Source organism: Homo sapiens, chromosome 18 (assembly GCF_000001405.40).
Source record: "Homo sapiens chromosome 18, GRCh38.p14 Primary Assembly".
In the NCBI taxonomy this organism is placed as follows: Eukaryota; Metazoa; Chordata; class Mammalia; order Primates; family Hominidae; genus Homo; species Homo sapiens.
In genome coordinates, this window is record NC_000018.10 from 44724784 (window position 1) to 44739320 (window position 14537).

At 42.5% G+C, this 14537-nt stretch overlaps 1 protein-coding gene across 19 annotated transcripts in view, besides 3 other annotated features; it reads left to right on the plus strand.

Annotated features, from left to right (window-relative positions):
- Nucleotides 1–14537, plus strand: part of SETBP1 (SET binding protein 1) — a 388438-nt gene that overhangs the window by 44711 nt on the left and 329190 nt on the right. For 3 of the 19 annotated variants that reach the window (XM_047437479.1, XM_047437480.1, XM_047437481.1), the window contains exon 3: nt 1–14537. This exon is cut by the window's left edge and continues 12108 nt beyond it; it is cut by the window's right edge. The exons of the other annotated variants lie outside the window; for them this stretch is intronic. The gene's annotated coding sequence lies outside the window, so the exon portion shown is untranslated. 19 annotated transcript variants of the gene reach the window in all.
- Nucleotides 551–600: an enhancer, noted in NCBI's record as "active region_13253". NCBI's record gives its function as "activates an Ori minimal core promoter by ATAC-STARR-seq in GM12878 lymphoblastoid cells {active_cell/tissue: GM12878}" and the evidence as "EXISTENCE:reporter gene assay evidence [ECO:0000049][PMID:35858748]".
- Nucleotides 731–920: an enhancer, noted in NCBI's record as "active region_13254". NCBI's record gives its function as "activates an Ori minimal core promoter by ATAC-STARR-seq in GM12878 lymphoblastoid cells {active_cell/tissue: GM12878}" and the evidence as "EXISTENCE:reporter gene assay evidence [ECO:0000049][PMID:35858748]".
- Nucleotides 8430–9629: an enhancer, noted in NCBI's record as "MED14-independent group 3 enhancer chr18:42313178-42314377 (GRCh37/hg19 assembly coordinates)". NCBI's record gives its function as "activates an origin of replication core promoter dependent on BRD2, BRD4, P300/CBP and CDK7 cofactors, and independent of MED14, by STARR-seq in HCT116 cells {active_cell/tissue: HCT116}" and the evidence as "EXISTENCE:reporter gene assay evidence [ECO:0000049][PMID:35650434]".

Below are 14537 nucleotides of genomic sequence, written 5' to 3' on the forward strand. Positions count from 1 at the left end.
CAGAATAGAGGCAGACAAGTGGCAAATTCCTGTTTTCTCCTCTAATTGAGAAAATATTTTGAGTGGTATTCAGTCAGACTACATAATGAGTGGGGGTGGGGCTGGAAGTGGAAAGAAAGAATATGAATGAGCAAGAATATTATTAAATTACTGCAAGAAGCCAAAGTGTGTGCAGAGTTCAAGGAGCTGTATGAATGTGCCCTCCTTCCTTGCTTCCTAATTTGGGATGCACAGCATTCATTTCTTCACTCACTCATTTAGCACATGGTCACTGGCAATGGGGGTTTACTTTCAAAGGAGGGTTTAGTAGCTGCCCATAGAGTTACCATCAGATAAATGTAAAAGGGGCCAGTTTTCTCTCCCAAGGCTAGGGAGACACATAAGCAGGTGATTGCAACACGTGAGACTCCCATCTTGATGCTGTTATTGTTCTTTTCTTTTCAACATCTAAATCTGGTAATCATCTGTATCTGCTCACAGTTTGGGGAATAATTTCATATAATTTCACATCTAAGAGAGACTATAAAGTGATTCCTGCACTAAGTCTGGCTATCCCAGGGCCTCTGTTCTTAATGAGTTACCTGTACTGTCCAAGGAATTGTGTAGCAAAACTGGGTTGGGGGGTGTGTGTGGAGGGGCAGAGTCTGGGTTTGGGGAAGTAGTTAGGAAACAAAGCAGTTATGTCTTGACTCAACCATAACCAGCCTGCCCTTGCTTGAAAGATTCGGCTTTCATATTTTAGGAGCACAGGTTCATTTTGTTTTCTAGGCTGACAGTGAATAGCACTGATGGTTTATTCACCAGGACCTTTCCTGAATTATAGGGGCATATAGCTGGGAAGGCCTTTAGGGTCATTTTGCCAATAGGAACCCACAGAAGTTAAGGGACATCCTCCCGGTGCTATGTGAGGTTGTGGCAGAGCTGGGACCTCCTCCCCCTCGGCCCCCTGACTTCCCAGCGGCTCTGGGTGTGCTGTCACCTCTTCCAGGAAGTGATGACTCAGATTATTTTCATCAACATACCTCCCCCCTCCAACTCCGTTTTCTTCCCACAGCCACCAAAGCCAATAATAGACTAAGGCAGTTTCAGTTTTAGACAATTTCCTTTTTTACTTAGAAATCTATGGTTAGAAAAGGGTGTAGGGTGGTAATAGTGGCCAGGGGTGGGGAGGGAGGCATGAGAAGCTTCAAAGGGGATGGGCATCTCCTGGCTCTCTGGTGGCCTGGATGGAATTAGAACCAAGAACTTTCATATGACCTTGAGTAGATCTCTAAAAGATTCCTTCCCTCTGAAGTTTTTTGACTTTTAAGTTCAGAAGGGAATTTCCTTTCCACCAATTCAGGGACCATTCCTAAAGCTTCATGAAACCCTTACATAATTTTTAAACTTTAACAACTAACTCATGTGAGTTGTTACACATAGCTTGTAAGTGACATTTCAAGCCTTCTTGATTTTCATTCCAACAGTTCTAGATACATAATACATTCTTTTCAAGGAAGGTAGGGACTTTGTTTTGTTGTAGTAACTAAAGCTGGCAATCATTGAAAGAGATTATGAATAATCAAATAATAATACTTATCTCTTGAGTTCTGTATGGGAGGCACCAATCTAAGCCTACTACCTGCAAATGTATATGTAATCCTCCCCAAAACTCTTAAGAGGTAAATCTTACTGTTCTCATTTTGCTGATGAGTTAACTGGCATGGGGAGGTTGAATAACTTGCCAAATGACATCTAGAGAGTATATAAAAGAGGTAGTGTTTGAAGTCCAGTTAGTCTGATTTCAAAGTTCATATTCTTAAACACAAAGCTATATAGGACCGCCTCCCATTTGCAGATTAGAAGTCATAAACTGTAATAATATTACTTTCAAATTTCATCACGTGTTTGATTCTAAGTGACATGAACTTGAAGTTTATTAAATATGTAAAGTACACAAAGACTTCATAAAGGCCCTATTTTTAATAAATGCCTCAAGCCACACAACTGTGTGCTTCGTTACATAATTTGTTTTTGTAATAATACGTGGAGAAGAGCCCAAGATGAAAGGGCTGGCTAGATTATTGTGTGTCAGTTGTGCACACACTCTGTTTCTGTTTTTCATTCTGGGATCAACTGGGGAGATAAATCCATTTGCCATTGATCTTACCATCGTGAGGGTGGAGTGGTTATCAGAGGATCCTGGAAAGTTTAAAGCATTATCCAAATGCAAAATAAAAGAGGTGGACAGCTTTTTATTTTTTTTAACACTATAAACATGTTTCAGTTTTGCTGTTCAGACTCTTCTCTCTGAAGTCCTTTTCCATAATGTTCGTTTGGGTAACTAGCATTGGAACATTTGGATAACTCAGTGTTTGAGCTCTCTGGATGAGTTGCATGCATTTGACTGAAATATTTGATCACTGTGTGTGTGTGTGTGTGTGTGTGTGTGTGTGTTGATACCCAAATAAAACAAACTCTTAAGGTTTTACTGTCAGTGTCCTTATTTCTGTCTCTCACTTTGGGGTGAGAGATTAGGATAAGTGATATCTGCAGAGGTTCCTGTCTTGAGGCAGGGCCTTCCTTCTCATTTGAAAGCATCTTAAGGATTTGTTGCTGAATGCCTATCTTCCTGTGGTTCACAAAGACGCATTCAGATGACATTCTAAACTTGCTGCTTTCACGGCAGCCTTTTCAGTGAGTGGCCAGCATCACTTTTCAGTGTGGGGGGATGGACAGTAGGTGGACACTGTCTATGTATGAGCCCTGTAGTAAGTTGCCAACTGAATGGTTTGAGATGTCCAGAATGTTCCCTTCAACCTCAAAGGAACAACAATCATTTACGCAACCCCTACTGTGTCTTCACCAAGCTCTCAAAACACCTTAAATATGAAATCTCTACCACCATCATAAAATCAGATTCTCGAAGGTGAAAGAGAATTATCCTGAGTTTCCTCACAGACATTTAGCCAATCTCCTTGGTGCTTTGTGGGTGGCCTTTCTATTGTTGAACACTTCTGGGCTGAGATGCTGCTTCCCTTGTTGGGTCAAAGTAATCCAACAAGTAATTCTTCTTATAGCCCCCACTTCTTGGTCTTATCTAACCCTCAAACACAGAAGCTGTGCTAGAGAGTTAGTGACACTTTGCTCAGAACCCAAATTAAACCCAGAGCAATTGTATCCAATAAAAAAAAGAGACTGAATTTGAGGGGAGGTCCTTACACGTACCATTTATCCCCTGTTTGCTCTACCGTCACTTATTAGGTTCACTCTGAAGAATTAATGAAGGCTATCTCAGGAAGAAAAGCAAAGTCTTCTCTCATTTAAGACTCACTACTTAGAAATATGCTAATTCTGAGAGACAGAATAATGCACTTCTACTCCATTGTGATCACTTTTGCACAGTTTGGCTACTTTATTCAAATTCCTGTATTGTACTGTCTGATTTATTCCAGAGAGCAGGACAATCAAGAGACAGGCAGAAGTAGAAACCTTCTGGAGATTTAGCAGTTATTCACTGTCAGAGACTGGTGGTTCTCAGAGCTGATCATTTCCCTGGACATGATCACGTCTCCCTGTGCTAAGTTTATTTGCAATCTATTAAAAACTACACAAGGCATGCGGGTCTCGGGAAAAAGTCACTGTTTTGTTTCAAGTGCAGGTAATCAAATTTAAGTGTGTTTGGGTACCTGTTACTGATGTTCCATAGGGACCATTTGTTCATTCAGTTAACAGTGGATGAGTGTGGATTCTAAGGTAGTCATTGTACTCATCATTAAGAATATAAAATCAAATAAGACATGTCATTTGCCTTTAAGAATCAGACAAGCTTGAGTCAGATAGGCAAATAAAATGGTAATTATAAAATAATGTATCAAATTCAATGAACAGAAAGTATAATCCTCCAAATCCTATTGGGGGCAGGGAGAGAAAGCTCTGGGATGGAGGGAAGGTAGTCTTGGAGCAAGTTTTGAGGAACAAGAGGAGTCAGCTAGAGGAAGAAGGAGAACAGGCATTCCAGGAAGAAATAATGGCATATGCAGAGGCATGGGTGATGAAATGATAGACTTGACTAGAAGAAATGCAAGTAGATCCATTTGAATGAATGATGCCAAAGGTGGTTGGGAGCAGAGGTAAGAACTAGGCAGTGGGAAGAATGCAGCTAAGAACTAACTAGTGCTTATTGAATCCTTACTGTGTGCCAGATAGAGTTCTAAGCCCTTTACATGTGTATTTCAAGTAGTCTCCATAAAACCCTAGGCAGTAGCTACTATTGTTATCTTTACCTTACAGATCAGGGAACTGAGGCATAGACACAGTAGGTCATCTGCCTGTTACAGAGCTAGTAAGAGGTAGAGTTTGGATTGGAACCCATGAAATCTGGCTCTACAGTTCACTTTGAGTCACTGTTCTTTGGACCCCGTGTCCTAGGAGGTTGAACATTATCCCCAAAAACTCTGATTTATTTTAGACAAAGAAGGACATGAGCAGAGTTATGTTCTGGAAAGGTCACATGGAGAACCATGCAGTGAGCAGATCATAGGGGAGAGAGACTGGAGCAAGAGATGCCAGCTAGAGGCCTTTGACATAACGTAGGTGAGAAGTGAGAAAAACCTGAAACACATGGTGACAGAGACAGCATCAGAAGGGAATTGATATAAAAGGCATTAAGCAGGTAGCATCTGCATGACTCAGTGGCTAATGGGATTTAGTTGTTGAATGAGAAGGCGGAATTTAAGATATCTCCTAGGTAAATGGATATCACTATTCATAAAGAAGGGAGGCCTTGAAAAGAGGATGCTGCAGCAAGTCAATGTGATTCCTGTTGAGTTTAAAGGGGCCTATGGGGACACCCATGTGGTGATACTTGTTAGGCAGCTGAATATTTGAGTTCTGCAGATTACTGTGGGCTTTGGAATCTGTTAATAGTTAAAACCATGGGTGTGGCTTAATTTGCCTGGGATAGCTTGTAAAGTCTTAGAGCTGTGGAGAGATCTTTGGAGATTACAAGCATTTAAAAGATAAGCAGAGGCAGAAAAAAAAAGTGTTTGCAAAGAGTGGTCTGGCTAGAGCAGGAGAAACCCCAGGAGGTCCCGGGGAGGCTGTGGTTTATGTCACACAGGCTTTTGCACCGCAGGGTCACTGTGACTTTTGAGAGAGTGTTTTCTGTGGAGCTGTGAGATCAGAAGCCAGTGAAGAAGATGCAGAAACTGTCATGTAGACTAATCTTTGCAGAAGCCTGAGTGTGACGTGAGGTCTAGCTATGCATCTGTGTGAGTCAACTTCTTGAAAACTCAGCGTGGAACATCTGCAGAAGCCTAGAGTGGTGCGGCTGAGACCTTATCTGCCCTTGTTATATGGGTAGCACTAAATTCCCTTAGATACATATTGAATACGACTTGCTTTATTCTGTTTGGTTCTGTGCATTTTACTATGGAGTATGAAGAAAAATTATATAATATAGGTTCTGCCCTCAAACAAGTTTTATTCTGTCTATTCTACATAAGACAAACATGGAAAACTAAGAGTCAATATGAGCTAAATGGTCAATAATTCAGCTGTCAGATACTGGGGAGGTAAGAGTTTGCTGGAGTCCTTGGGATGCAATGAGTAAACTCTATCCTGAAGGATGGAACTACGGAGGATTCAGAGAACATGCGATCTGCTATACAGATATGTAGATGGGGTGGTATGCAGGAGTCAGGGAAAGAAGGCAGTGAGGAACCTCGCTCTTTTCTTGACCCTGGACTTTTTCCAGCCTCTTTTTTCAGGAACTTTCCTGTGTTGCTTGGTCTCTCCATCCAAGAGGCTCTCATGTACCATTTTTGCCTACCAAGAAGAAAGCATTTTGACACATGCTCCCTGTTGTGCCTGTCCTCTTTTTCAGACCCTCAGCAGATCCTTCTTGCTTTCATCATTCCCCACTGGTCTAAGAGAGACATCAAAAGGAGCAGCTAGAAGAGTTACAGTGGGGGTGGGAGAAAGAGGAAGCTTAAATGGTATCAGGGTTTCTAGATGATAAGATTGTCCTGGGAGCCCTTTATAGACGAGACACAAGATGTTCTAATTATCTACTGCTGTGTAACAAACTACCCCAAAACTCAGTGGCATTAAAACTAGAGCCATTTTGTCATGTTGTCAGGGTTGTGGATCGGCCTAGTAGTGATAGTTCCTCCATAATCAGGAACTCAGTTGGAGTGGCTGTGATAGTGTGACATTGCCCCACTTGTGACTGGCTCTGGCTGTGGGCAGAGTCTGTCAGCTCTTCTCCATGTCTTGTCTGCTGTATGACCCTGGTGACTGGGCTGGGATGGATGCAACAGCTGGGGCTGCCTGGGTTCCACTCTGACCTCTTGACATGGCTGACTTGTACTTTCCAGCCAGCATGGCAGGTCTCGGGGTAGTTGGACTTCACACATGGTATCATTCAGAGAGAATCAGGTGGGAGCTGCAAGGCCCCTTATGTATGACCCTCAGCATTTCCAAATATCCCTTCCCCCACATTCTGTTGACTAAGCACAGTCACTAAGGCCAGCCCAGATGATCAGGCTTTGCAGAAGCTGTGCTTTTTCCACATGGCCACAGGCGGGAGAGGCACCACTCGCTAAACTGACAGAAAACAGGGTCCGCAGAGAGGTTTATGAGACTGTCAGAATCCATGTGGGTTTTTGTCTACTGTCTGGAAGAGCCCTGAGTTAGGAGCCAAGAGACCTGGGTTGTGATTATGGCTTCATCTCGATCTAACCAAACTTAGAATTGTTTTGATTTGTGAATAAAAATGTTGGTCATGATAGTTTTATATTTTATTCTACTAGACCCTGGGGCTAATGGAATTATTCTGATTTTAGAAGGGAGGAAAATGGTTCTTTACACACACACACACACACACACGCGCACGCACACACACACACATATCCTTATATGCTCCATAACCTGAAGTTGAGTGACTGACTGCAATTAAACAGACATTGGTCTAGTTCCTGTTTCTGCCACCCGACAAACACGTGCTCTCTCAACCTGACTTTCCTCATCTATCAAACGGGCATAATTCTAATTGCCTGGTCCACGTGAAGACAGTATGAAATACAATATTCTCAATATTCTGTGTCTGTTCAGAGTAGACTCTCCCTAAGAAGCATCATAGTAATTCTGATTGTTTGCCCTGATAAGAATCAGGATTTCCATAGCATCTGGCTGAACCTGTTTTTCTCTTCCTAATGCCTTGTTTGATCCCATTTTTCTTTATTATGAAATACCCAGTGGCTGGTGTGTGTGAGGTGCATGTTCTCAGTTTTTGTGTTGAGGCTGTCTAGTTCTATTTGATGAGCAATGTGTCTGTGTGAGTATGCAAATATGCTGGACTCTTTGCATGAAGGATTTAAAATAGAAGCTGACCTAAGAAAGTTGATTACCACTCAGATAGACGATCACATACCCTCGTTATGAGTCCTGAATTGGTTGAACTTTGTGACTAAATATGATATTCTTGGAATTTAGCTTACTGCTCCTTGAAGCTGAGCAGGGCTATGCAATTGTATTTTCTTTAACATGCTACGACTTGACTGCAGACGCCCTAAACCCCTGATGTCTTCTGCATGTACGATCAAAAATTCCTAGCTCCGGGAACTTGCTGTGCTGAGCAGACATCCAGTAAAGGAGGAAACCCAAAGCCTGTGTCCCGACGGATATATAAGTGAAGACGTTAGTCAAAACAAGACGTTAGTGCTATTTCTCACCCTTGCAATGGACAGGAGCAGCCATATTGTATGTTGCATTTATTTAGACCCTTCTGCCGAGAATAAGTGCTCTGTAAACATGCCCTATTTAGCCCTCAATGCATATACTGCTGCCTTTCTGAGGTCTTGAAGTCAATGAAATAAATTACTCTAAAAAGAAGTGCTATGCAGCCCCTTAGAACAGTAAACAAGAACAGTTCAGGTCTTTTCAGGAACCTGAAGCCAAGGGATGGTTTGTTTTTTTGGTCTCCAGGAAGAACCAGTACAGAAGGAGGTATTGACCTCGCTACTTTGGCTGGCACCCACCAGGTCCCTTCCTGGCGCTCACATTCCCCAAGTGTGTAACTCAACACCTGTCCTTCTGCGGCAAACAGAGCTTACAGTGATGGCTGAGCCCCTCCTGCCCTGGCCCTACCGGCAGCTCGCACCTTTCACTTAGGATTTCAAACTCTCAAAAACCAGAGTCAGAGAATAAATTCTCCCTCAGGATTCTGGTTTGGGCCAGGAAAAAAAAAATAATCAGAAAAACAACTCCCACAAGAAGTCCTGGGATCAGCACAGCAATCTCTTTCTAGCTCCAGACCTAGATGAGGGAAGGTGTAGGGATCTTAGAGACCTCTAAATCTCACAAGTGGCTCCCTCTGAACCAGAGAGGGGCATGTGGTCTGAGTGATGTCCTCTTTTACTGTTTGAATGCCAGCTCATCTGAGCTACACAACACCCCCTGTTATTTCTGTCTGACATGGCCAAGCTGAATCTCTGGTAAGTAAATAATTAATTTGGAAGTTGGGGATGTCAGTGGAAAAGTCGGCTCTGACGGCTCAAATAACAAGCCCCAAATGTGATAGCCACTCTCTGGCCCTTTGAGAGACGACCTGTCGGTTCTATTAGATCTGGACAGTCCTGTCTTCCGGCCTGTCTCTCCACATTAAAGTCAAGGAACTGTATCTCTCCATCTTTGGATCACATCTCTGTCCCCAAATGCTTGTGCACACTGTGGAGTCTGGTGTTTTCTTTCCTAACTCCACCAGGCCCATGCAAGTCCACATGACTCATGAGAAGAGATGAGTCGCAGCTCCAGTATCCCTGTGGGTTTGGGGAGGGGTCAGGCTGTGAATAAACCACTACGTGGCTGATTTTACATCCTTCTCTTTCACCACAAAAACCTCAATTTCCCTTTTTGTGGAAAACAAAAACCCTCTTTCAGTGTTCCATCAAGGGGACTGTGGCCTTTGAATTGCACGGTGTCCCTGAGAAATTTTAAAGATTAATCAGCTTTTTTGGGGAGTGGCTGGGAGAGGCCCTATTCCTGTCCATTAGGGAGTAGCAGGTCTCCCCTTCTGTTCCTTCTGACCAGGCTGCCATCTTCATGTGTAGATGAGGAAATTGATCAGCCTATGAATGATTTGCAAATCCACAGATGTGTGGCTGAGACCCTGAGGGCATTCATCACAGGATCTGCCCGGTCCAAAAGTTCCCTTCTCCCATCACAATTCAGGGCCTTCACAGAGCTGGGGGAGTGAGTAATGATGGGGGCAAAAGTCACACACTGAAGCAAATGAGGACAAGCCCTGAAAATCAGACCCTGTTGAGGCCTGGTCCAGGGGCTTTCTAGTACACTAGTTGAGATCATTTCTAAAAGGAAATAACAGAATAAAATCTCAGATAGGCAGTATAAGAATTTGTAAATGGTAAATGTGCTATAAGGGTGAGTAAGATGCATTGCTTATTGCTTGAGAGGATTTCTTTGCCCTTCAGTGTATCTGGATTTGTCATTCATGAGCTATTAATTAAATTCGTACTCTCTGCTAGTATTCGTTTCTTCCCTGGGCCTTCCTGAAGACTGCATGTGTGTCCTAGCTGTCTGCTATTCCAGCTCTCCTGTATATTCTGGGAGTGTGTATGAATCAACTTAGGCCCTTGTTAATACCATTGTTCTTGCAAGACATAAAAAGAAAGTGAAAAAATTTAGTTTGACATTCTAGGATCTTCCCATTTCACCTGAAATGTTATTTAAAGACTTATCTCTTACCAGTTTCTGACTTCCGTGAATTCCCTGACCACACTTCCAATTCCCACTTCCATACTTCTGTTTACATTGCTCTGACCTTAAATGTCTCCTCTCTCTCCCTATCTAGTCAATACTTACCTCTCCTTGAAGAATCCCCTTCCTTCCTGGTGTCCTCAGCTCATGCCTTCCTTACCTCTAAACTTCTAGAGCACCTCTCCGCAGTAACAGTCATTTCCTGGCAAAATGTGTCCCTCCATTGTTACGTTTCTTCTTTTGGACTATTTAAAATTCACTTATTTTATTACATTTTATGTTGCTTTCTCTTATTTAGGTTAGAAATTATCTTGGGGATAAAGGGTTTAATTTATTGGCATTTCCCACAGCATATCACATAGGAAGTACTCAATAAATACAAATTGACTCTATATGATTAAGTTTTAGACAATATCGAAGTGTGTTATGTTCCATTTCTACTCCTAAGGAGTTTTGCTATCCAGTAAGAAGAGAGTTATTTATAAGTCTACATAGAATTCTACTTAGAGATATTCACTAATATAATATTGTAAAGTTGGAAAGCCACACCTCAATGATGTTTCTCAATATTCATTAATCCCAAGAAAGAGTGTTGGTATAGATGCAGAGGATTTAGTCCATGTTGCTAAATCCTGTTGAAAATGTGCTTGAAGATTCATCTGTGGTCATGTGTGCTGAAATCAATTGAGGATACAGACCCAGCTTGGCTCTGCATTAGGAGGCAGGAGACCTGAATTTTAGTTCTTCTTTTTTCAGTTGCTGGCAGTTTAGCCTTGGGTAAGTCACATAATTTCCTGGGCTCAGCTGTTTCTTCCTTACAACTAAGGTTGCATCAATTGCTTGTAGTTAGAGATCTGAACCAGATGATCTATTAAATTTCCTTTCTATCTCTAGGTTCTTTGATTCTATTATTTAATGAGACTAATTCTGCTTGCCATTGCACAATACATTTTAGCAAATAAAAGTTCAACTGAACAGACATGATAGTAACAAACACCCAAACATCTGCAAGACTAAACATTAAGAAGAGAGACAGACAATGGCTTAGGCGGGGGTACCTATGATAGGTGCTCCAGGGCACAGGGAGGGTCAGATGCTGGAGTGGCCCAGTCTTCCTGGGATAAAAATGAAAAGGATCAGGAACACTTTTAGAAAAGATTCTAGATCAAAACTGTAAGGATGCATTCCCCTTCCTGTCTCACCTACGCCTACTAGTAGTCCATGACTTAACACAAGTTCTGCCAGGGACAGAATGGTATAAGATATTTCTTACCTGCTGCTCTCGTGTTCAAGGAAACTCATCAGAAAGATGCTCCAGGTTGGCTTCTGGTGAGTCCTTTTTCATAAAACATCTGGGCAGTTTCAGCCTGAGGAACATATACTGCTATCTTCAGCTGCTGTGGTGGGAGGGAAAGATAACATTTTGTGGGGCTTGTTTTAGTCACTATCAGCTGCTGCTGCCTTAGAATCATGAAGAACATTTTTACCTCCAAATGCAGGTCACTCTACTGGTCTTTTGGAATAGCCACAAAGGGAAATGCCATATCATTAAGAAGGTCAGGCTGGGCATAGTGGCTCATGCCTGTAATCCCAGCACTTTGGGAGGCCAAGGCAGGAGAATCGCTTGAACCCAGGAGGTTGAGACCAGCCTGGGCAACATAGAGAGATCCCTTCTCTATAAAAAAAGTTAGTCAGGCATGGTGGTGCACGTCTGTCATCCCAGCTACTCAGGATGCTGAGGAAGAAGGATCATTTGAGCCTGGGAGGTCGAGGCTGCAGCAAGTCATGATTGCATACTACTGCACTCTATACTGGGCAACAGAGTGAGATCACGTCTGTTTACTTAAGCTCTGTAGGGTATGCAAAAGAACACAAGACAAGTCTTTAAAATTGACACTGTTATTGGAGAGATCAGTTTTATAGACATAAGGATGTCATTACCCTAAGTTGGGAAGATACTGTCATCTTGTCTAGAAAACTTACCTTGATAACATCAACCCACTGTGATATTTCTCTTTTTTGTGCCACATGGTTGGTAATGTAGATTCTATCCTACTTCACTCTTTCCATTTTTCATGCTCCTTTGAAATCAGCATATATTTCAATTATATACAATATGATGTTGTGTATATATTTTATCACTTTAATTACTGAAAAAGGATCAAAACAGAAGTTTCTACGTACAGTTCTCTCATAACCCACAGTGCACTTAGAATACTTAATGCATTATTTGTTGACTGACTTGCTCATACAGTTTGCATGACTTTGCAGTTCTTTGGAAAAGAGGTATTGCTGGAAAGGGAGTTTTATCTGGAAGTGTTTCATAAAGCCTACTCTTATCTCCATTGTGCCCCAGGCAAACTTAGCCACTGTGTCCTCTGTGCTCACTCTCTCTCTCTTACACACTTCATTGCCCTCCTTCTTTCAGTCTTTTTTCCTCAGTATATCTCCAGTGTTGAACACAGGGCCTGGTAGACCGTAGACACTTGGTACATCTTTGTAAAAGAATAAATGATGAATGAATGATATTGAGGTCTAAAAGCTCAGGATGAGAAAGAGAGGCAAATTCAGTTGCAAGTCTGGCAAGTGGCTCAGTTGGAACTCCTCAGCAGGCCTGGCTTGCTAGAGGCCTGTGTTGAGTTTGTCTGGGACAGGCCTCCTGTGAAGACTCACATCTATGATCCAGCAGTAACAGCTTTCACTGTCAGGCACAAACTTCTTGGCTGACTGAAAGAGCAACGTGTTAGTCTCTAGAAGTGGAGTGGACTGGTGTCTGAGGTGAGTATAGCCCACTTGGATACAGATGCCCAGTATTTGGTTACCTGCCCTGGGGAGAGGACTGGTTTCTCCCTGGTGTATAGACTCATAGGCTGGCTACAGACATATATACACACACACCCAACTACTGATTTGCCTTGGGAGTACACTGTGCTTACTTAATATTGTACAAGCTGGTGACCAGATTACCTTATGAGAAGGCACATGATGTAGAGTGTAAAATCCACTAGATTTGAATTTAGAAGACACAGATTCTACTTCCAACTCTGGTTTGCCCTGAGTGTGTAACCTTAGAAGGGTCACTTCACTAGGCCTGACTTCTGTCTGTAGGATGAAGGCATTAGGCTACATAATCTCAGAGTTTAAAGCTAGAAATTTCCAAAGCTGGAATGAGTTGCCTTTGTAGGCAGTGAGTTTCCAATAGCTGGCTGGAAGTTCCAGAACAGGGATTCTTAGCCTTAGAAGTGTAGTTGTGTTGGGCCTTTCCAACCCGATTGAGTAACTTTCAGCTGATTTGGAATCCCATCAGCATGGGCCAAACTGACGTCAGCAGGGAGACAGACACAGCATTACGTTGTTTACTCTGTACAACCTATAAGTGAATTAATGACCTGCCATGTCACTATTTTGATAGCAACAACATCACCCCCATTGTCTACCATTTATGAATTATCTTTTTTGGGCTTGTCAATTGATTGGACATCTGCATATCCTAGGGCATGTGCAGATCCACATGGTCACATGCTCATTCTCTGGGTCTTCCTCCTCTGAGAACCTAGCATGTGGTGTTCTTTGTGACTTGCCCATATAAACTGCTATTAAAGCCAAAGACTGGGTGCCCTGTGCTGGCTGTGTCCCTCTGTGAGAGACTCAGATGCTGAGGTCTCCAGTGGCACTTAATGCTCCAATTGCCATTGTTTGAAGAACGACATCTACCCTGTAGTCATATGTGCCTATGTTGACATCTCTTTCCACTTACTCTTTGCAATTCTCTTCTGGTGTCCATGCTGCTGGTGATCTTTATTAACAGTAAAATTCTTCAAGAGCTCCATAGCCCTGAAAGAAGAATTATGCCATCACTTCCATTTTACTCAATTTCATTTTTCTGGAAGCATTAGAAGATGAGTGTTCACATTTTCCATAAATTTATTTGCAGCTTGAAAGAAGGAAAGATTGAGCGCTGTGGCTCACACCTGTAATCCCAGCACTTTGGGAGGCCGAGGCAGGCAGATCACCTGAGGTTAGGAGTTCAAGACCAGCCTGCCCAACATGGTGAAACTCCATCTCTACTAAAAATACAAAAACTAGCTGGGTGTGGTGGCACATGCCTGGAATGCCAGCTCCTCAGGAGGCTGAGCCAGGAGAATCACTTGAACCCAGGAGGCGGAGGTTGCAGTGAGCCAAGATCATGCCACTGCACTCCAGCCTGGGTGACAGAGCGAGACTCCATCTCAAAAAAAAAAAAAAAAAAGAAAAAAGGAAGACGGTATACACGAACACACACACATACACACACAGAGTCTCCTTTTATGTGTAACAGTTGCCCACAAACTTAGTGGCTTAAAGCAACAAAAATTTTATTATTTTATATTTCTGGGGGTTAAAGTCAGAAATGGGCCTCACTGGGCTCAAATCAAGGTGTTGACAGAGCTGTATTCATTTAGAAGACTCTAGGAGAGAATGTTTCCTTTTCTTTTTCAGCTTCTAGAAGCTGCTGTCATTTCTTAGCTCTGTTCTTCCATCTTAAACCTAGTAACTCAAGTCGAATCATTTTCAACCTGCCATCTCTCTGGTTCTACCTATTCTGTTTGCTCTTCCACTTTTAAGGACTCTTGTGAAAACATTTGGACCTACCTGCTTGATCTAAGACAGTCTATTTCAGGGTCAGCTGATTAGCAGCCTTAATTCTGTTCCGCTTTAATTGCCCTTTGCCATCTAATATATTCACAGGTTCCAGGGATTAGGACACAGGACATCTTTGTGGGGCCATTATTCTGCCT